Genomic DNA, 24,438 nt, shown 5'->3' on the forward strand with positions numbered 1-24,438 from the left:
CAACACTGTTACACAAAAAGTAAAATTCAGAGTTTAGAATTCAAAGTGCTTCACATGAAATAAACATTCATTTGCTGAGATAGTACTGCATTAATATTCAGCACTATCAACCACCTTGTCCAAGAGAAAGCTGCTATTTAAATAAGTTAATTTTTTCTTATGAGAAAACAACTTAGAAAGGGCATGACATCTACATCTTCTCTTACTGTCCAAACATGAACATCAAGAAGATTAAATCAAGTCATCTAGATAACCATGATTGCCTTCTGTACTTAATCACATCTTAAAGAAAATGGTCACACAAGTCACTTCAGCTTTTTAAATTAGGGCAGTGTCTTTTCTCTTCAAAATGAATCTAATAATTGGAGATCATATGACCTAGAGAGAGGTATTTTACTCTCAGTTCCTACCGTACTCGCCTAAGGCTGAAACCTTCAAACTCCCAATGCAAACAGATTTCATTTCAATTTGATTTTCCAAACCATTTCCCCCCTTAAAAAGTTTGGAATACATTAACCAATAATGATTCTCAAATCAATATACATCAAATTTCCATGGTTTCTCCTCTCACTTGACTGGAAAGCCCAATCTCTGGCTAAATAAAAAACTGTTTAAATAGTTTCCTCAGTAAAATGAAAAAATAAACCTAGAAAAGCTGTTGTCATCCTTTTGACGAGCTTCTGTACTTGCTGATGCACACTACCAATTCATGTTTATGCAGTATCTGTATCTATAGCCTAAGAACTGCCCAAGATAACTTTGGAGAAAAGCAATATAATGCATCCTCAAGGCTGCAGTATGAAACAGCATTTATTTCAGCTAGTAAATGTCATGTTTAAATAACTATTCATAGGCCAGATGAAAAACAAAGGGGCTTCATTAAAAGCACATTACATCAACAAAAAAAGGAAATTAAAAAAACAATCCAGGCTGGGCGTGGTAGCCCACACCTGTAATCCCAACACTTTGGAAGGCCCAAGAGGGAGGATCACCTGAGCCCAGAAGTTTGAAATCAGCCTAGGCAACATGGCAAGACCCCATCTCTACAAAAAATAAAAAAATTAGCCAGCCATGGTGGCACTCACGTGTAGTCCCAGCAGGGAGGCTGAAGTGGGAGGATGGCTTGAGCCCAGGAGGCGGAGGCTGCAGTGAGCCATGATTGTGCCACTGCACTCCAGCCTTGGCTACAGATCAAGACTCTGTCTCACAGAAAGAGACAAGAGGAGAGAAAGGGAGGGGAGAGGGGAGAGAGAAGAGCAAAGGGGGAAAGAGGACAGGAAGGGAGAGAGAGCCAAGTGGAGAGGAGAAGAAAGAAAAAAGAAAACAAGCCCCACTTAACAGTAGCGTCAAAAAAAAACAAACTACTTAGGAATAAAACCTAAGACTTATACACTGAAAAGTAAAAAACACTGCTGAAAGAAATTTAAAGATGACACAGATAAGAAAAGTATCTTGGGTTCATGAATTGAAAGACCGAATATTGCTAAGAGGTCTACCCTACCCAAAGCATTCAACACAATCCCTATCAAAATCCCAATGGCTTTTCTTCTTTAACAAATAAAAAAATTGGCTGGGCATAGTGGCTCATGTCTGTAATCCCAGCACTTTGGCAAGCAAAGGCGGGAGGATCGCTGGAGGCCAAGGCGGGAGGATCACTTGAGCCCAGGAGTTCTGGAACAGCCCTGGCAACACATTGAGACCTGTCTCTACAAAAAAAATCAAAACATTAGCCAGGCATGGTGGAACGTGTCAATGGTCTCAGCTATGCAGGAGACTGAGGCAGGCAGAAAGCTTGAGCCCAATAGGTCAAGGCTTCAGTGAGCCATCCATGTTTGTGCCACTGCACTCCAGCCTGGGTAACAGAGCAAAACCCTGTCTTAAAAACAAAACAAAACAAAAAAAGAATTGAAAAGTTTGTCCCTAAATATTCACATGGAATCTGAGGCAAGCCCAGACAGCCAAAACAGTTTGGAAAAAGAACAAAGTTGAAGGATTCACACTTCACAATTTCAAAGCATATAACAAAGCTGAAGTATTTAAAACAGTATGGGTATGGGCATAACGACAAAAAAGACCAATGAAACAAAATGGAACCCAGAAATAAACCCTCCTATATATCGCCAAATTATCTTACACAGGTGATAAGACCACTTAGGGGAAAAAAAAATAGTCTCTTCAACAAGTGGTGCTGGGAAAAGTGGATATCCACATGCAAAAGAATGAAGTTGAACCCTTATCTTACATTATATACAAAAATTAACAAAAAATGAATTAAAGACCTAAAACGATAAAACTCCTAGAAGGAAACATAAGGGAAAAGCTTCATGGACTTGGTGATTATTGCTTAGATATGATGCCAAAAAAACACAGGCAACAAAAGCAAAAATAAACAAACAGCACATCAAACTTTAAAACTCTGTGTATCAAAGGACACAATCAACAGACAACCTACAGAATGAGAGAAAATATTTGCAAATCATATATCTGATAAGAGGATAATATCCAGAATATATAAATAACTCCTACAACTCAACCAAAAAAAAATTAAATAGCCTAATTAAAAAATGGGCAAAGGACGTGAAATGATATTTCTCCAAACGTGATATATAAATGGCCAACAAGCAAATGAAAAGATGTTTAACACCATTAATCATCAGAGAAATCCAAACCAAACTACAACAAGAGATTAACTAATGCTGATTAGGATGGCTACTATCAAGAAAAAAAAAATTACAAGTGTTGCGAGTATGTGTAGAAACTGGAACCCATGTGCACTGTTGGTGGGATTGTAAAACGGAACAACCACTTTCGGAAAACAATATGGAGATTCCTCAAAACATTAAAAGAACTACCATATGATCCAGCAATTGCATGTCTGGTATATATTCGAAAGAATTGAAACCAGGGTCTTAAAGAGATACTTGCAAACCCATGTTCAAAGCAGCATCATTCACAATTGCCAAGTGGTAGAAGCTACCCAAATGTCCAACAAAAGGTGATACATACATACAATAGAATATTATTCAGCTTTTAAAAGGAAATCCTATCACATGCTACAACATGGATGAACTTTCAAAACATTATGATAACTGAAATAAGCCTGTCACACACACACACACAAAAAAAACCTCAGTGGTTCCACTTATATGAGGCATCTTAAATAGACATTCACAGAAACAAAGTAGAATTGGTGGCTGCCAGGGACTAGAGGGAGAGAAAAAAAGAGCTCTTGTTATTTAACGGGTATAAAGTTCCAACTTCACAAGATGAAAAAGTTCTAGAAAGCTGTTTCACAACAACAGTGTGGACATACTTAACACTACTAAACTGTATATACTTAAAAATGCTTATAATGGTAAATTTTATGGTTTTACAATTAAATTTTAAATTCACTTAAAACTGAAGTTGTATTAAAGTACTACTCTAGAAAGTAGACATGTTTTCTTTTCAAGTTATATATTAAAACAATTATGCATCAGAAAACAACAAAGAACGAATGAAACACAAATAGGGAATAAAATCAACTACTAATCAACTACTTGTGCGCCTACAGTCCCAGCTACTTAGAAGGCTGAGGCAGGAGGACTGCTTGAGCCCAGGAAATTGAGGCTGTGGTGAGCTATCAACACACTACTGCACTACAGGCTGGGTGGCAGAGTGAGACTCTGTCTCTAAAATAAGTTTTTAAATTGTTTTTAAAATTAAAAATCAACTATTGGCTGGGTGTGGTGGCTCACACCTGTAATCCCAGCACTTTGGGAGGCTGAGATGGGCGGATCACTTGAGGTCAGGAGTTCGGGACCAGCCTAGCCTACCTGGTGAAACCCCAGCTCTACGAAAAATATAAAAATTAGCCAGGTTTGGTGGTGGGTGCCTGTAGTCTCAGCTACTTGGGGGGACTGAGGCAGGAGAATCACTTGAACCCAGGAGGCAGAGGTTGCAGTGAGCCAAGATCGCACCACTGCACTCCAGCCTGGGTGACAGAGTGAGACTCTGTCTCCAACAACAACAACAAAAATCAACTATTAAATCAGCACTTTTACTTCATAGTTTCCTATGAGTTTTAAAAACTAAGTCTTTCAGGAAAAACTATCTTCAGTCATTTTTAAAAACATTCAAGAGCTAAATATGTAAATTATTTCAATGTGAAAACAGGAAAAACCACATTAAAGAGCCTTAAAATGATATAATTATAACTATATATACCAGTTTGCCTATGATAGTGCCAGTTTAAGCCTATTGGCTAAGCCTAACTATTAATTTCACTCAAAAACGTCCCTGTTCAGACAATAAATTATATGGCCATCACAGATTAAAGGGAAGACTCCATATTTTCACTAAGAAATGCATCACCATTTTTTTCCACAAGCAAGTACTATTACAAGCCTGATCAGAAATAGTATCCAAGTACACATCTGCTCCTGGGCAGACCTTACAAGTATCTCAAACTCATATCTCCATGAGAGGTAGATAAGCTACGTAAACAAGGGAAGCCAAGATAACAGGGAAGACAGGAGACTATCTGCCTATCTAAAAACACTCAAATTCTTTTCTATAAGCACTGCTGATTTAATCCATTACACCACCAGCAGCTGCCAGTTTACAATCTCTGCTACACAAGCCCTCCATTGAGTTTAAAGACAACCGTCAAAATATCTCTCCAGTTTCTCCATTCACCTGACTGTTACCATAGAGAATACAGGTATTCCCACTCTGGCCTGCTGTGTGCAGTGTTTTCTCCTATCAGAATCCAAACCACCTACCAGTCCCCGTACGTCAATCGCCATTAACATTCCTCTAACCAGCTCACTATCTATATAAAGATTAATGTGTTAAACTAAGCATATTCTAATAGAGGTCTATTGGTAGTCACAAAAGACAGTACTGGAATCAGTTGATTCCTTTTATCTATAATTACAGTGAGCAACATAATTTTTAATATTAAACTAACAAGTACTGGGAAAACCTGTTTCTACTTTCTGTGGTTTGCTTATCAAATTAATCCTACAATTTTGATCCCGTTATACAGTTCTCAAGGTACACAGAATGACTCAAAATGAACTAAGGATATCATACCTAGTATGGAATTAGTCCACAGCTTGCAAACTTAAAGCCCATGGGCCAAGTCTTGTCCATATAGGTGGCTGGTTTAAAATGTGTATTTATCATCAAAAACAAGGAAAAGTCTGAGAAACGGTCACAGTCAAGAGGAATCTAATGAGAAAGGGTGACTAAATATAAAGTGGAATCCTGGATGGGATCTTAGAACAGAAAAAGGGCATTATGAAAAACTAAGGAAATGTGAATAACCTATGGATGACTTTAGTATCACCACTCATTAATTGTAACACATGTACCATACTAACATTAGATTTTAATAATATTGGAAACTAGACATGGGGTACATGGGAACTCTCAGTATGATGTTTGAAATTTTGTCAATCTAAAACCATAGGCTGGGTTCACGCCTGTAATTCCAGAACTTTGAGAGACCAAGATGGGCAGATCTTGAGCTCAGGAGATCAAGACTAGCCTGGGCAACCTGTCAAAACCCAGTCTCCACAAAAAAATAATTAGCTGGGCATGGTGGTGCATGCCTGTAGTCCCAGCTACTTGAGAGGCTGAGGTAGGAGAATGGCTTGAGCCCAGGAGGCGGAGGCTGCAATAAGCCAAAATCATGCCACTGCATTCCAACCCGGGTGACAGAGCCAGATCCTGTCTCAAAAAAAAAAAAAAAAAACCCTATCCTAAAATAGTTTATTTTTAAAATGTACATAACATGTATGCACACACAAGTCTGAATGATGTGACTGTGTGTATGTGTATATTTATTTCCATGAAAATATCAATTAGTCCCAACATTTAAGATAAGAGATTATCACACAATCCAGATTTGCAGGTTTTCTTGGGACAAAATAAGGCAGGGAGGGACACAAGGATTTGAATTTGCCAACCATGGCCCTGTATTCTCCTATAGACAAAACCAGTTTACCAGCAGCCTCCTTGAAAAATGGGGAATCCAGTTTGTCAGAATCCTGCTACAAACTGTCTTACCCACCTGAAGGGGGCCTTCAACTATTTGCAAGTAAAATTATACATTTCAATTCACGTACTATTAGCTCAGATTAAACCCTAAAGGAATATGGTAGCTCAAATCAACGAAAAGCAGCTTATACCTATCATCTATTGTTCAACGGTCACAAGTAACAGAATAGGAACTTTCGATACAGGTCCATTTTCACCTTACTATTTATTAAACAAAAATAAACTCCCTTCTCTACCCCAAATAAATCTGGTGCTCTTACCCTTAAGCTGGTTTAAAATGAGTTTAAAAAAAATACCTAGGAGATTTTTGAAATACCTTGCAGGATAAACTTGAAGTAATTACTAAAGAAAGAAAACAGTAGCAGCTAGAAATCTTTAGCACACAAATCTGACAATTAGCAAAATCTTCTAAGGAAAAAACATTAAATGGATCAGTATGTATTCCTAAAAATAATCAGTCAAAATAAATGATCAATTCTCAATTATCCATGCTGGCCGGGCATAGTGGCTCATGCCTGTTACCTCAGCACTTTGGGAAGTTGGGGCAGGCAGACTGTTCAAGGTCAGGAGTTAAAGACCAGCCTGGGCAACATGGCAAAACCCTGCTCTACCAAAAATACAAAAATTAGCAGGGTGTGGTGGGGCATGCCTGTAGTCCTAGCTATTTGGGAGGCTGAGGTGGGAGGAACACTTGAGGCTGCGAAGTCAAGGCTGCAGTGGGTCAAGATCACATGACTGCAATCCAGCCTGGGCAACAGAGGGAGATCCTGTCTCTCAAAAAAAAAAAAAAAAAAAAAAAATCCATGCTAAAAAACTGTACCAATAATCCCAAACTCTTTAAAAATGTGGCTCTCAAAGAGACTATTCACTTCCTGATCCAGGACAACTCCCAGCAGCAAAAGTGAGCAGGCCTAGACTCTGCAGGACAGGAGTGAGGACCAAGGTCTCTGGGGACAGTCTCTTTCATATTGCATTGTATTTGGTAAATCTGTGGTTTAAAGACTCCCCTTTGAGGACACAAGATTTGCCTGTCCTAGATTCCCCAATACATGTTATAAATTGCAAGCTTCTCTAAAGTTAATTGTAATTAACACAGAAATTGAAAAAAAAAAAAAAAGAGCAATGTACAAATCAAGGAAACACATTTACTATAAAGGAAAATATGTGTGACTGTAAAAAAAAAATTTGATTTACAAAATAACTTAATCACAATTTCACCTTCAACAAACTGCAAAGATTTTTCATACAGCCCAAGAGAAACAATCAGAATTTAACTGCTTATACTTTGTAAACATCTGCAAACTCAAATATAAGTAAACAAATCACTGGCATCAAGTTGGTCAGGAGGCACTATGACATTTTACAGTATTGCAATCATGGACCTAATGCTTAAAGAACGCTTACACAGTCTGTTCTGGCAGAGAGAACAGAGGCACAAAGAGGGGTTTACGGGGAGTGTAAGAAATGGGTAAGGGGACTCAGAAAACTAAGGATTCTGTCTGCATTTTAAAGTCTTAAAATTAGCCCTAATCTTCTTCAGAGTAGGTCTACAGAGGTTTTATTCAAACATTATTATATTTGTTGTATATTTTTATTAACAAAGTCACAAAATTCTACCATCCTACTTTAGTCATTCTGTCATACATTCTATTATAATTGGTTATTTCCAAGTTTTAAGAGGATTTAAGCCTAAGACAATTTGAGCAACATAATAAGAGAAATGGGTTATAAACTGGAGAATAAAACAAATATCCATGAGACTATAATGATGTAAATAACATAAGAGAAAAAGAAATAAATAGAATAAAAAATAAGGCCAGGCGCGGTGGCTGACACCTGTAATCCTAGCACTTTGGGAGGCTAAGGCAAGGAGATCACTTGAGGTCAGGAGTTCAAGGCCAGCCTGGCCAACATGGTGAAACCCTGTCTCTACTAAAAATACAAAACTTAGTCAAGCGTGGTGGTGGGCGCCTGTAATTACAGCTACTCAGAAGTCTGAGGCACGAGAATCACTTGAACCCAGAAGCAGAGGTTGCAGTGAGCTGAGATCATGCCACTGCACTCCAGCCTGGGTGACAGAGGGAGACTCTGTCTCAAATTAGATAGATAAATAAATAAATAATGGGCCGGGTGCAGTGGCTCAGGCCTGTAATCCCAGCACTTTGGGAGGCCGAGGCAGTTGGATCACGAGGTCAGGAGATCGAGACCGTCCTGGCCAACATGGCAAAACCCTGTCTCTACTAAAAATACAAAAAAATTACCTGGGCATGTTGGTGAGCACCTGTAGTCCCAGCTACTCGAGAGGCTGAGGCAGGAGAATGGCACGAACCCAGGAGGCGGAGCTTGCAGTGAGCCGAGATCGCGCCACTGCACTCCAGCCTGGGTGACAGAGCGAGACTCCGTCTCAAAAAAAATAAACAAATAATAAAAAAAGTAAACAAATAAAGAAATGGGGTAGAGGAGGGAAAGTTCTTCCTTACAGTTGAATTCCAATTAATAAATGTAAAAGAAATGATAATTTTTTTAAAAAATCACCATTTGGCCAACACCACAGTAACAACTGATTCAGACAAAAAAAGAATCATCAATAAATGCTAAACTCAGTGAGCAAAAGTATGATGAGGAAGAGGATATTTGCAGAGTCACAAAGTATCTCCCCACAAAATGCATATTAAAGAAAAATGGGAAAATAGTAACTTTATAGTGGAGAAACAGGTAAACACCATCTTAACTAATCACAGGACACCTCCTTTCCAGTAATAAAACAACAGTAACATCACATGCCACCTGATATGATGCACTGAAAAGGGCACATCATCACTTCTGTGGTATTCTTGCAAAAAATGTATCACTTGAGTTTAATCACGAGAAATGATAAACAAATCCAAACATTCTACAAAATAACCACTGGTTTTTCAAACTCATCATGGCCAGAAAGATAAAGACTGAGGATCTGGCCCAGATTAGAGGAAACTAAAGAAGCATGGCTGCTTAGGGAACATAGTGAGAGACCCTGTCTCCACAAAAAATTTAAAAATTACCTACAAAACTTTAAAAAGTTAGCCAGGTGTGGTGGTGGCCCATACCTACATCCTAGCTACTTGGGAGGCTGAGGCAGGAGGATTGCATTAAGTCCAGGAGTTCAAGGTTATAGTGAGTTATCATTGTGCCACTGCCCTCTGGCCTGGGCAACAGAACAAGATCCTATCTCTATTTAAAAAAAAAGCAGCAGCAGCAGCAGCATGACAACTCAATGCAACTGGGATCCTGGACTGAATCCTGGACAAAAGGGTATTAGTGGACAACTGGAGAAACTTAAATAAACTCTGTATATTAATCAGTGATCAATGTTAATTTCTTGGTTTTGATAATATGATTATGTAAATGTAAAACATTAACACGGAAGCTGGGTGCAACGTACACATAAATTATTTGTGCTATTTTTGCAAACTTTTTATAAGGTCAAATTATTTCAAAATGAAAAATAAAATTTAAAAATAAATAAGAGTAGGCTGGGTGCGGTGGCTCAGGCCTGTAATCCCAGCACTTTGGGATGCTGAGATGGGTGGATCACCTGAGGTCCGGAGTTCAAGACCAACCTGGCCAAAATGGTGAAACCCTGTCTCTACTAAAAATACAAAAATTAGGAGGGCGTGGTGGCACGCGCCTATAGTCCCAGCTACTTGGGAGGCTGAGGCTGGAGAATTGCTTGAACCCGGGAGGCGGAGGTTGCAGTTAGTCGAGATTGTGCCACTGCACTCCAGCCTGGGTGACAGAGCAAGACTCTGTCTCAAAAAAAATTAAAAATTAAAAAATAAAAACTAAATAGAGTATAGGATTAGGAACAAATGCCAGTATATAAACTGATAAGCAAAACCTGGGATGAGCAGACTTTTACTGTAAAGGGCCAAATCATAAATAGTTTATGCTTTGGAGGCTAGTCTGTCCCAACTACTCATCTCTGCTGTTATAGTACAAAGACAGCCACAGATAATAAGTATGGCTGTCTTTCAATAAAAACTGGGGTGGCTGGATTTGGCATGCAGGCTATACTTTACTGATCCTTAAACTAAACAAAAAAATGTTCATCTTTAAGAAAGGTACTATTTGGCAACAGTATAACCGGTAATACTTATTCTTAAATATAATCAAAAATTTTTCAGTTTTATCACATGAAATAAAATTTCATGTTATTACATGCTATTTTCAGAATTCTTTATCATATACTGTGTGCCTAGGACCATTAAAAGAGCACATATAACATTTTAATAAAGACAAGAGCTATATTTAGTATAGCTAAAGGATGTACTCAACTAAAAACTTTCCTCACATTCTAAAATAAATTTAGTTCAGCATGAAAACACAAACGCAAAGAAAGTAATCATTTTGGTATCCCCCCCACAACCCTTTTCTTTTCTTTTTTTTTTTTTTTTTTGAGACGGGGGTCTCTCATTTCCATTGCCCAGGATGGCATACAGTGGCATTATCATGGCTCACTGCAGCCTCAACTTCCTGGGCTTAGATGATCCTCCCACCTCAGCCTCCTGGGTAGCTAGGACTACAGGCATGCGCCACCACATTCAGCTACATTTTTGTATTTTTAGTAAAAATGGCATTTTGCCATGTTGCCCAGGCTGGTCTTAAACTCTGGGACTCAACAGATCCACTCACCTTGGCCTCCCAACGTGCTGAGAGGTGTAAGCCACCACACCCAGGCCCAATTTTCAAATCTAACTTTTACTTTACCTACCAATTTGTGGTCTGGAGGGAAAAAAGCCAAACACTTCCTCCTCCATTTAATTATATTTTGAAACTAGTTACATTGCTTCTAGTTTTCTGTGATCAGCCTTCAAACACGTGGTGACTGAAGTAGCATAATCTAATCATTAACTGGGTATTTTCAGAAAATCTGGCCATTCAAGAATCAAGGTATAAAATGAGTAAAAGCACCTGACTTGAAATTTGTATATGGTTTCTTTAGTTTAACAGTATATAAACTTTAGATAAAAGTGTCTGAGTGCAATGCCTCAGACGTGTAATCCCAAAACTCTGGGAGGCCAAAGCAGGAGAATCACTTGAGGCCAGGAGTTCAAGACCAGCCTGGGCAACACAGCAAGACCCTATCTCTAGAAAAAAATAAAAGTAATAAATAACGTTTAATTACATCATTTACAAACTTCATTAAACTGATTCAGAAAGAACTACCAGAGTTGGATGCCAGAAATAAATAAATAGGATCAGGAACAAACGCCAGTATATAAATTGACAAGCAAAACCTGGGATGAGCAGACTTTTACTGTAAAGGGCCAAATCATAAATAAGTTTATGCTTTGGAGGCTAGTCTGTCCCAATTACTCATCTCTGCTGTTATAGTACAAAGAATAAGTTGTACCAAGAATAAGTTGTAAGAGAGGACCAAAGATAAAATCATTTAAAATTTTAAATGAAATAAATGGCGTGACATTATAAACATATGTAAACATTATATACATTTTTTAAAGGTCAAGAGCCTAGATTAATTGTAATTAGCCTGTGTGAGTTATTTTTATCATGGTGGCTCACCCTGAGCAATATGAACTTCCTGCCCAGAGTTCAGGAGAATTTTCTCACTCCATCACTAGATAGAATATTGAAGATGATCATTCAGACTGAGAGCACTCACAGGAAGATGATACAGACCATCTGTAAGATGGTGCCTTCAACTGGCCACAACTTACCCTAAGGTGTTGCCTGCCAGCCTGCCTAGAGTCTCAGAACCTGAGAGAAACCATGGAGAGTCGCTTGTCCTACCAGGCCTTGACGTCCTCCCTGCCCCCGAGTTGCTGTTCAACTTTGACCTGGGGGAAAGCAAGAGGTAAATTTTTGAAGACCAACATTTTTTACAACCCTGTTATTTCAAATTGCATTGCTTAATTTGGAAATGATCTATAAAATCATTTCAGTTAAAGAGCAGATTTGACTTGGTACCTACTAAACACGTAATATCATTCTTCTGGTAACCTGTTTCTGTTAAGTGATAACTGACTCCTCTGCTACTTTTAATGTTAGTACTTTGGGCTGTGAATCATCGCTTGCATAAAGATTAAAATTAAACTAGAAAGCAATAGTTTCACTGTTTTAAAAGATCTAATTTTCTGTGATGCTTTAAGTTGAGGGTTACCGAAATCAAAACACAGGTTTAATATAATACCTAAGAGCTAAATACATATTAAATAGAAAGGACATAATATCTTACCCATCATTATTATCAGGTTTACCCAATTCCAATCTGTCTGGCTGTACTGAAAAACCAATCCTGCAAACTCTACCATCCTAAAAGCAAAGAAAACAGAAAAAATTATCCAAGTAAAAATGTGTATTAAAATTTGAATTTATTCAACAAAGAGATTCTGTGCCCATCACTGTCAATTCAGAAGACGATAAATAAACTTCCTTCCAAAAGGTGCTTACACCTGAGATGGGGAAATATGACATACATAACATTATCAAGAAACCAGTCGAAAATAATTTACAACATCTCAATCTGACAAAATTCAAAGTAAGAAAATGACTGGATTTAGGAGACTCCCCTATTCTGTTACTAATTAGTTTCACACTCTGGCAAATCATGTAAGCTTTCTCTGGGCCAGAGGAGGAAAGAGAACTGGGAGCTCTTCAAGATAACTTTCAAGTAACTGCTGTTTTCCTGTTATAATGGAAGAGATACAATGATGCACAATTCTATTTTAACAGTTTATTTTTCATTTCTGTATCTTAGAGTGAATAATTTACCTCAAGAAGAAAGGCAGCATGATTTGGTCCCACCACACACTGTTTAATAGTAGCCTGTTCCAATACATTCAAAGGGGGGTGGCTGAGAGATAAAAAAAGAAAAAGTTAAATTATTTTTTAATGGTAAATACATCATAGGGTTTACTCTTAAATACAATTAGAAAAAAAAAGTTGGCAAAACCTATTTTTTAAACTAATATTTACTTTAAAGCAATAATTGAAAAATAATATCTCCATAATCATTTATATCTCCCTGTATGCCAGATTTAAAAAAAAAAAAGCATGAATGCAATCTATAATTCAAATAAGCCCAACCCATAAAAAGTTGACAGATTAAAAGATTCTTAAAGTCTAATAATCACATTAATCTTAATCATATCAGGCTGCCGCCTAAATGAGTTTTTTCTTAATAAAGAAAAATTGTTGTCAGAAGATTTAAATATTTTAAAACTCTTACCTGTTTAAATTATATTTGTTCAGCTTCTCAGAAACTTCTCGTAACCTTTAAAACAAAACATTAACAAACCACGTGTACAGATCTTTTGTAAACAAATACTTCTGACAGGTACTTGTACCATTATTTTGGTAATTTCCAATAGTAGTACACAAAACAACTGCTATGGTAAGAATGTTTTTCATATTTTCATTTTTGTCCCGAAAAGATCACAAGCAGACTCTGCAATTCCGTTCCCTCACCACCCCATTTGCAACCTCAGTAACAATGATAATCGTATTAATCCCATTTTCCCATTAATCCCAGGTGAGAAAACTGAAGCTTCTAGAGTTTATAGAAAAGGTAGCATAAAGTTGGTAGCTGAACCAATGCCCAACCAAAGGCTCAATTGTTTAAAAAAACAAAACAAAACAAAAAACTGTGTTATCCATGTCAAGAGATTCTTGAGTGCACATGGATATCATGAAATGAAAACAGAAAGCCTAATTGACTTAAGGTATCATCTCAAGTTCTTGAACGGTCTTATAGCACAAAATTGAACAAACCAGATCATCAATGTCCTTATCTATATAAAGTAAGGATAACACCTCCCATTTCTAACAGCATTTAAAACAGTACTGAACAGATTTAGAAAAACCCCAAAGGGCTACATAACAAAGAGATATTAACTTGTATTTTCTGTTATGATTTTGTTGTTTCTCTTAAGAAAACAGTCTTGAATGTAAAACACTATAATAGCTAAATTAAACTAGGTATTTTGTCAACCTAAGAAAGTCATTTTACAATGTAAAGATATAATCAAATGCAGAGATTTTAAGCAATTCTATTAAGTTATCAAAAAAAACACTGCCTGATCTGATCTTTTAAAACCGTTTTCCAGAAATAATTCTTGTAAAAGTAAACTGAGAATTTTAGAAAGCAATGGGAAAAATCAGAACATTAAATCAATAGAAAAGTCCATGAATTCTGCTCTCTAAAGAGTCACAAAAATGAATAAAATCAAATTTCAATCATTTGTACTAACAGACAAAAATGTTATACATACTCCAAAAATAAATGACGTTAAAGCCAGTTTAGGGCTTAAAAACTGCCACAAAGCATATATAATCTAACTTAATTATTTCAGTAAGAGAAAATAACCTAATTATTTCAGTAAGAGATTCAATTAGGAGTCAGCTGTTCTATAACTTTATCCTATAAGTTCTATCATCCTAGTGAACAGCATCTTTCAAAGGCGTACAGTAACTGTCTAATATTGAATTGCATTCAGTAACTGAAATAACTTTTTTTTTTTTTTGAGTCTCGATCTGTTGCCCCAGCTGGAGTGCAATGGTGCGATCTCGGCTCACTACAACCTCCATCTCCTGGGTTCAAGTGATTCTCGTGCCTCAGCCTCCCGAGTAGCTGGAATTACAGGTACCCGCCACCACACCCGGCTAATTTTTGTAATTCAGTATAGATGGGGTTTCGCCATTTGGGCCAGGCTGGTCTCAAACTCCTGACCTCAATAGATCCACTTGCCTTGGCCTCCCAAAGCGCTGGGATTACAGGCGTGAGCCATGACGCCCAGCCTGAAGTAACTTTCAAATGCGGCCATATTTTATTTCTCTCTGAAGAAGTAGATACTTACTGGTGACCTTATTCTCACTCCTAAAGAACAGCATCTGATCATTTGTGATTTGGCCCCCAGAAAAATACATTTTCATTTTTGTAGCCCAGTTTTGCATTTACTTCCATTAACAAAACATGTTTTCATTAGTTCAAGAAAGTTAAGCTTTTTCAAAGAATTCCAGTTTGCCCATTTACAAAGCACACTTCTGTGTTCCAAGATAAAACACCTTAAGGGTAATGTATTGTGGAACCCATGAGCTCTAAGAGAAGGCTGACTAGAAAATAGGGAGAAGATAAACAAGGGTGGGTCTGCTCTGCAGAGTAACAGCAGCCTTTAGAAGACCCCAAGAAGCAGCAGGAGCTCTCACTTCCCCGGGTCCACATTTACTATGAGTAACCACAGTAGTGACACTTTCAGAAGATAACTTGTTCACTGGCATGCAACTAAACTCATTCATTTCCATTCCTTTGTTAGTAGCTCAAAACTTGTCTCCAGAGCTCTCGCAAAATATATAGCATTGGGAGAGAAAAATAATTGTCAAGGCCTTTTTCAAAACCGGACAATGCCTGAGATTAAGAATTAAATGTTGTTTCCACGTCTCCAAATATTCCAGACAATTATTTGTAAAACTAAAGTAAGCTTCGAGGATATGAGAATGCTAAAAAATATTTAAACTCAAGAACTCAACAGCGAATTTCAGGCTATCTGGGGAGATAGCACAAATGGTTACTGCTATCAATTAAATTTTCTAATCTTAAAAGTCCTGGTGAGACCCCTAACCACATCTGAAATACATGTCTGAAATGCACATCAATTTGTACTGGAAACAATGCCACCGAATAGCAAGAAATCCGGGGTTTACTCCCAGCTCATCTACTACTACCTGGACTCACTAAAAGTCCACTAGGTCTCAAGTTCTCATCTATGTGAGGAAGAACTCTTTTAGTCATCTCCGGTTCTGAAAATTCTTATTCCTGAAATTCTTATTTTTTGTTTTTTTGCCTCTTTTGAGACTGGGTCTCACTCTGTCGCCCAGGCTGGAGTGCAGTGGTCCAATCGTGGCTCACTACCACCTCAATCCCCCAGGCTCAATCTATCTTCCCGCCTTAGCCTCCTGAGTAAACAGAACTACAGGTGCGCACCATCTCACCCAGCTAATTTTTGTATTTTTTGTAGAGACAGCGTTTTAGCACGTTGCCCAGGCTTGTCTTAAACTCCTGGGCTCAACGGATCTACTTGTCTTGGCCTCCCAAAGTGCTGGGATTACAGGCATGGGACATAGTGCCCAGCCTCAGTCCTGAAATGCTTATGAATATATGAAAAGCAAGTGTATCAATGGAAGATATATACGTAATGTTTACAATGAAATAGCACTATCATATTCAATTTTTATCGTACCCATTTGAAACTTTCAAATGGATTTTATACAGACATTTAGATTGCTTCCCCAAATATCAAATTTTAAAAAACTCTTAAATTCAGTCCACAGATTTACACAAAATGTATCATCCTTTCAAATCTCAAGAGAGTTATGACTAAACTGGGCCCTACAAATTAGTTTATATGAATCCAGATAACAGTAACAAATAAATCTTCACCCCAAAAAAATAAACTATATTTAAGAAGTATTTGATTATCTTTTACATTAGAGAGTCCTCAGTAGACAGGCAAATCAAAGAATCACTGCAGGCCTGTGATAACATTCGTTTAAATTTGCTAAATTATCCATGCTGTTCCCCTCCTTTAGCCAAAAAAAAAACTGAAGTTTTTTTAGTTTGCTAATTATTCTATACAACAGAGATTCACCTACTTTAAAGGATCTTCATACAATGTTTACGATAGGCAGTATTAACAAAAGTTTACCCTCTCTTTAAAATAAAAAGAAACTCACACTGAAGCTCACCAAATTCCATTTCAGAATAAATTTTTACACGTGGTTATGATGAAAAACAATTTTAAGAATACAGCATGACATTAGAATATAACCTCACTGGCCAGGCACAGTGGCTCATGCCTGTAATCCCAGCACTTTGGGAGGCTGAGGTGGGCGGATCACCTGAGGTCAGGAGTTCAAGACATGCCTGACCAACATGGCTAAGCCTCGTTTCTATTAAAAATTCAAAAATTAGCCGGGTGTGGTGGTGCACGTCTGTAGTCCCAGCTACCCGGGAGGCTGAGGCAGGAGAATCGCTTGAACCCGGGAGGCAGAGAGCCAGGATCAGTGAGCCGAGATCGCGCCACCGTGCTCCAGCCTAGGTGACAGAGCAAGACTCCGTCTAAAAAAAAAAAAACACAAAGAAAATAACCTCATAATAGCATTTAATCTCATTCAAGGATAGATAGGTAGACAGGTGAACTTTGGTGAGGTGGTTGTAACACACAATGAATAGGTTAGCAAAAAGCTTCTGACAATCCTTGGGTACTCTACACTCCTATTTGCTACATTTATTCTATATTCTGATTAAATAAACTATTTCATTCCTTTAAATGTATAGATCACTTTACAGATCTAGAGGCTGAAATTTTTGTTTAAAGCAACAAAGTAAGGTAACAGCAAACTGATGTTAATTAACAGAGACAGGAAAACAGTGTAACGGTACTTGCTAGAAGCCAACATATTTCATTGCTATACTTTAAATCCCCTCTAATTTCAGTCTCATTCTCCCCAAATTTAACATTACAATTTCAAAGGTAATTTATCTTCTCACTGATCCTCAACTGGCAACAGCACTAAGTACAGGTTCTTCGGTTTCATAATTCTCTGCCTAACTCTAACATATAACATATCTGCATGTTCAAATACCCCTAAACTGGATTAAACCTGACAGATCCTTTCTTGCAGAATTTCTAAAGCAAAAAAAAAAACGTATAATTAAACCTTCAAAGGTTTCAATTCTCAAAGACAGAAAGGTATTTCTGACATCACATACTCTACAAGGTGATGGTTTCCATATACTTGGAACTGTTAAACAAGGTACATCCACTCATGTTTCATGACTCTCAGCAATCACGTTAATGGCAAAAGTGGCATCATCTGCCACCAGTGCAGTTCCTTCAGTCTCATTCCACTTATTTCCCACCCAGTTCAAATGCCACCTCCTCCATGAACCTTTCCTGGTAGTTGTAATTTCCTTCCTACAGAAGTCTACAAATTCTCTCATATCTAGTCATTTGTGTTTCTATCCGAACTGTCTTCACAGACTCTAAGCAAAGACAGAATACAACTTGCCAAGTCTTTCCTTACCCCTCTGCTTTTCTGGATACAGTTCCAACAACGAAAAAAAGTACATTACTGGTACGTAACTTATTTCAGAGGCAGAAAATGTTCCTGATCTTAATCTCAAAAAAACTAACTCTCCAGGTCTTCCGTCTCAAATTAAATACGTGAGCAGTGTGAATATACAGATTTAAGATAGTTTCCCATATAACTCTTAAAAGATCACTTACCATGGAAGGAAAAAAACACTAAGTAACTCAATAATCATATTAGGAAACTGCCTATAAAGTGACCCCACCTCACCCCAACTCTGGATATCCACTCATGGAATAAAACTTTTACATACCCATACAATTTTATTTTGAAGTAAAGGGCTTAATAATTCATGCAAAGAACCAACAGATACAGTCAATGAAGGTTACCTACAATACTAAATCACAGACTCCTGTAGAAAAAGTCTTCAAATTCACCTCTTGTCATCCATGTTGGAGAAAGCAGGTATTGCCAAAACAAAAATGCAGTACATGTAAAAAATCTGTGACCAGATAAATTCTGCTAGAAAAAGAAATACTGTAAGAATATTTCTGGCATTTCTCCAAAGGCAAACCATCTAAATCTTAAAGCCTAAGTCTTGGAGTGGTGGTCTTGCCTATACCATTTTTTTTTTTTTGGAGCAACTATTGTGTACTATATAGATGGTAGAGACAAGCACCTTTCTAAAAAGACAACCTATCTCTAACCACAGAACATGGTCCGCAGTTAAATTATCATGCACTTTCTTAAGTAAACAGGCAGTCAGTCCTCAATTTTTACACAGTTCTTTTAAACAACTCTTGCACCATACCACAAACACTGACACTTCTTAAACGCTGCTTCTCATGCCAACTGTTTCACGTTATCACTGATATCAATAAATTCAAACTATCACGTGGGGTGGTCCCACCTGCCAGCCACTATAGCTAGGGAAAAAGGCTATATAAACTTTGAGCCCTTTCTGATGATCATTTACTGGTGCCAACATCTAGAAGGCACATCCCCACTCCAGCCCCGCCCCCAGCAAACTGAGATCCTGGGCTAGTTTATTCAATGCAAAGGGTATCCCAACCCCAAATCCCTTTTCACACAGTCCTGGAGGAAGCCAATGGCGAACCACCTAAGGCAAGTTCATAGGGGAGCCCTTTTAAGGAGATCTTTGTTATAAGACCTCCTATATAAACTGAGTCTTCGGCTTGTGCTGCATCATGGATTTGTTTCTGGGTGAAGGGAACAATGCCTTTCCCCCATGCACTCTGTATTACGACAAACATTAGGAGCTACCTTGGCCTATGAGGCTGGGAATGACAAAGAGCCAGGAAGGATTATTCCTATAGCCTTAGAAGTATCCTTTCCCCCAGATGAACCACAATCTCACACAAATATATACACTCCACTGGGGTTGGGGCTAACATAAAGAGTCACACCAGCCTTCTGTTTGCCTCAGCCCAAGCAAGAAGCACCAACCCGTTAGAAATGAGTCTCTTCATCTGTGTATGAAAAACTTGCTCATTATATGCCTGAAAGTTGAATTAGACACTCAATTTTCAGACACATTTTTAAAAATCCATTTTTTAATGCTTGTATCTGAATTTAACCCTGATCTTCGGTACTCCAACTTTGGGATTTCATGGTGAAGGTAGGAAAATGAGAGATGTAATATAATTATTTTGACAACACACACAGAAAAAAAAATCACTACATTTTCACATCAAAAAATGCCAGTAAGGCCATAATCTTGCAATAAATAAACACAAAATTAGCTATATTTAAAACTCCCCATTTTGTCCTTAATTTTTTTCATCTCACAGTTGACCACAGGAAACTTAAGAGTTTAACAATGAGGAACCAATGAGTAAGACTGTTGTGATGGCCAAACAGGAACTAAAAATGTTACCAGGAACAAAAGAATTTAGGCTTCAAGAAAGCAAAGACCATATATGTTCATTTCTTTCTAGCTCTTTATAGGAGGGTTTTCTGTTTTCTTTTTTTTTTTCCCAAGGGGCACAGTCCTGCTCTGTCACCCAGACAGAGTGGTGGTGCAGTGGTGTAAGCATAGCTCACTGCAGCCTCAAACTCCTGGGTTCAAGAGATCCTCCTGCCTCACCTCCTGAGTAGGTGGGATTACAAGCACATGTCACCACACCAGGCTAATTTTTATTTTTTGTAGAGACGAGTGGGGTGGGTGAGGGTAGGGGGGAGGTGTCTTGCTGTGTTGCACAGGCTGGTCTCAAACTCCTGGCTTCAAATGATCCCGTCTGCCTTGGGCTGCCAAAGACCTGGTATTACTGGTGTCAGCCATCATGCCCAGCCTAGGAGGGTTTTCTCTGAAAGTAAATCAGAACCTTTGGTTGTGGTAGAAAATGCATATAATATTATTTAACACAGTTGCCTCAGCAGCTTCCTTTCTTCACCTCTTACAAGGTTTGATTCTCAAACTTGTTAAATCTCAAGACCACCTTATACTCTTAAAAACTACTGAAGACCCCAAAAATCTTTTGTTTATGTGGGTTACATCTGTTGATAACACTAAAGTTAACCAATAAAATTTGTGAATATTTTAAAAATAAACTAACTAAATATTGACATAAATTACCTACCTATAAAAAATTTTCCCAAAAATATTTGACAAGGGGGGCTGTTTTACATTTTTGCAAACCTCTTTATTATCAAGCTTCATATAAACTAGATTTCTCTGATCTGCTTCTGCCTTTATCTATCACAATATATTGTTTTGGTATATGAAGTATATGAAGAAAAGCTGGCCCTAGATAGAAAAGTTACGGAAAAGTGAGGTACATTTTAATATCCTTTCCAGATAACCACAGGTATTATTCTTTGATATTATACCAAAACTCAGCAAGTGATTTCTTAAAGGTTGAGAGCAATGTGGAAATCTGAAACCTATTAATGAACTTTGAATAACTCAAGTATGATTTTGTCATCTGGACCAGGATACACTGGTCATTTGGAAAACACTGATTTATTGACTGACACAGATACTCAAAAATCACATTTGCTAATGTTACTATCAATCTACAGTGTCAAACTCACAGTAATGGGTACAAGTTTCCCAAAATTCTAAAATTTGCTTGAAAGTTCAAATTTATCACCAGAAACAAATACCTTCATTGTTTTCTGTAAATTAACAGGCTTACTTGTTCATTTTCAAGAAAATGTCTGTTAAATATCCAAGTCTGAATAACCATTATTTGTCAGTCAGTCTCAAATAAAAATGGTTTCCATGAAGAAAGGGGCTTGTTTTAAAACGATCTTATGCTCAAAGGTATAGATTTAATACAGTTAATAACTCCTACTGTTTCATCAAGGACACTTTGAAGTGAAACTGGCTTTTTCCCCTACAAGTACAAGAAAAGCAAAGAATACAATGACAATTAGTTGTACAGTTTGGTGCCACTGCTTTGATTTCTGCCAAAAAGCCAGTATTTTACCCACCACTGCTTTTAAACCACAGCACAGATGTCAAAATGGTGAAAAAGCCTCCGTTTTATTATAAAGACAGTTTTGACCTCAGAGCCCCTGTAAGACTCTTGGAGGTCCACAGACCACACTCCGAGAACTGCCATACTCTAAATGCACAGTGCCATTAAAGTGACCAATACTAAATCGACATTGGGGGGAAAATGAGTAATAATTCATTCTTCTTACTAAAACAGCCACAAATGCCAACCAAAATAACCTCCTACTTATATACCTTTTAAATGCTTCTCAAATTATGGATATTCTTTTTAGTATCCCTCTGTGGCCCAAGCTGGAGTGCAATGGTGTGATCTCAACTCACTGCAGCCTCCGCCTCCCGGGTTCTAGCGATTCTCCTGCCTCAGCCTCCTAAGTAGCTGAGATTACAAGCACACGCCACCACGCCTGGCTAATTTTTGTATTTTTAGTAGAGACGGGCTTTCGCCATGTTGGCCAGGCTGGTCTCGAACTCCCGAACTCAGGTGATCCACCCACCTCAGCCTCCCAGGGATATTCTTTTTAACTGATAGATATATTTATGGGGTGCATGCATACAACATGTACATGTACACAATGTGTATACATGTATACAATGTGTTAATAATCAAATCAGGGTAATTGGGATTTCACCTCAAACATTTATCATTTGTGATAAGAACATTCCAGATCTTCTCTTCAAGCTATTTGGAAACATACAACAAATTATTGATAACTATAGTCACCATACTGTGCTACTGAACACTAGAACTTATTCCTTCTTAACTGTATTTTTGTACCCGTTAACCAACCTGTCTTCATCCTACCTTCCCCGCTACCTTTCCCAGCCTTTAGTAACCACCATTCTTTCTACTCTATACCTCTATGAGATCAACTTTTGATATATGGGATCATATATGGGATGATATATGGGATCATAGCTCCCACATATGAATGAGAACATGCAGTTTTTGTCTTCCTGTGCCTGGCTTATTTAACTTAATGTAATGTCCTCCTGGCTCATCCATGTTGTTGCAAATGACAAGATTTCATTATTTTTTATGGCTGAATAGTATTCCACTGTATATATACACCACATTTTTAACCAGTCATCTGCTGAGGGGACACTTAAGTTTTGATTCCCTATCTTGGCTATTGTGACTAGTGCTGCGATAAACATCTCTTAAATATACTGATTTCAATTCTTTTGGACATATACCCAGCAGTGGGACTGTTGGATTATATGGTGGTTCTATTTTTTAGTTTTCTGAGCATCCTCCATACTGTTTTCCATAATGGCTGTACTAATTTACATTCCCACCAACAGTATATGAGAGTTCTCCTTTCTCCACATTAAATTATGCATATCCTTTTTTTTTAAAAAAAAAAAAAAAAAAAAAAAAGACAAGGTCTTACTATGTTGCCCAGGCCTCAAACTCCTGGACTCAAATGATCCTCCCACCTCAGCCTCCCCAGTAGCTGAGACTATGGACGCATTCCACCATGGCCAGCATTGGATATTCTCTGATACTACATCAAAACTCAACAAGTCATAGTTCCTCAAAAATTAGTTACAATGTTAAATCTGACGCCCCATCAATGAATTTTTCATACTGTTATAAAAATCTATTGGTCTAATCCTGTACTTTGAGTACACTGTTTGTCCATGCCTGATTCTGGGTTGTTTGTTTTTTTTTTTTTTGAGACGGAGTCACGGAGTCTCGCTCTGTCGCCCAGGCTGGAGTGCAATGGCACGATCTCGGCTCACTGCAACCTCTGCGTCCCTGGTTCAAGCGATTCTCCTGCCTCAGCCTCCTGAGTAGCTGGAATTACAGGCACCTACGACCATGCCTGACTAATTCTTGTATTTTTAGTAGAGACAGGGTTTCGCCTTGTTGGCTAGGCTGGTCTCCAACTCCTGACCTCATGATCTGTCTGCCTCGGCCTCCCAAAGTGCTGGGATTACAGGTGTGAGCCACTGCACCCAGCCCCTGAATCTGTTCAGATTATAAAATGGTGTAGCAGCTGGTTATGATGGCTCATGCCTGTAATCTCATCAACTCAGGAGGCTGAGGCAGAAGGATCTCTTGAGTCCAGGAGTTTGAGGTAAAAGTGAGCTATGATCGCCCCACTGCACTCCAGCCTGGACACAGAGCTTAGCAACTATAGGCCTCCGGGTTTGACATATAAGAATTAAAGAATTGCTACAAGTTTATTTCTTTGGTGAAAAGCAATCTGATCACAGTCTTATACTTCAGATTTCAGCTTGCACATTGATCCCTGTTAACCAATGCTCAGTCACAAGCCTTAACCACATTTTATTTAAATTTGCATCAACAATTTCTAAATCAGTGGTCTCACTTTTCTCACTTACTGCCTACCCAAATAAATCTGTGCCAAGTAGCAAACATCTGACTGACTTTACTCTTGGGTTAAATGACCCCAAATTACACAAAAGACAAAACAAAACACAGAAAGACAAAACAAAAGATGGTTTTTGTGAGGTAAGTTTCATCTGTTGGCTTCTTGAATCATAGTTTGTAAGGAGGACTTACACTTTTATTAATGCTTATGAAGATGATAAATGCCAGTTTATATATAATGCATTCATGTTACCCTAAATAAGAACATTCACCTTCAAGATGCATTCAAAGAAGAAAATGAAGTTTCTAAATAAATATTGTAACTTCATAAAGGGATATAAACTTTTTTAATGTGAACTTCTAACTATTCCCCTTAGTTATCAGTTTTAGTTGAAACTGTCAAAAAGATTTCTATTAAACTCAGAAAATTCATGTTTCTCTAGTTTGCAGAGAAAAATGCTCTGCAAACTAGAGAAAAATTACATTA

The 24,438-nt window shown here is 37.9% G+C and overlaps 1 protein-coding gene across 7 annotated transcripts in view; it reads right to left on the bottom strand.

The window, feature by feature from the left end:
• UBR5 (ubiquitin protein ligase E3 component n-recognin 5) overlaps nt 1–24,438 on the bottom strand; it is a 160,428-nt gene that overhangs the window by 96,036 nt on the left and 39,954 nt on the right. For all 7 annotated transcript variants that reach the window (NM_001282873.2, NM_015902.6, XM_047421849.1 and 4 more), the window contains 4 exons: nt 13,274–13,318; nt 12,817–12,898; nt 12,281–12,357; nt 11,763–11,882 (listed from right to left, as the gene is read on the bottom strand). In NM_001282873.2, coding sequence (NP_001269802.1) covers nt 11,763–11,882; nt 12,281–12,357; nt 12,817–12,898; nt 13,274–13,318 — 324 coding nt within the window. Of the gene's footprint in view, nt 1–11,762; nt 11,883–12,280; nt 12,358–12,816; nt 12,899–13,273; nt 13,319–24,438 lie in introns of those variants that run through there.

Source organism: Homo sapiens, chromosome 8 (assembly GCF_000001405.40).
Source record: "Homo sapiens chromosome 8, GRCh38.p14 Primary Assembly".
Lineage (NCBI taxonomy): Eukaryota > Metazoa > Chordata > Mammalia > Primates > Hominidae > Homo > Homo sapiens.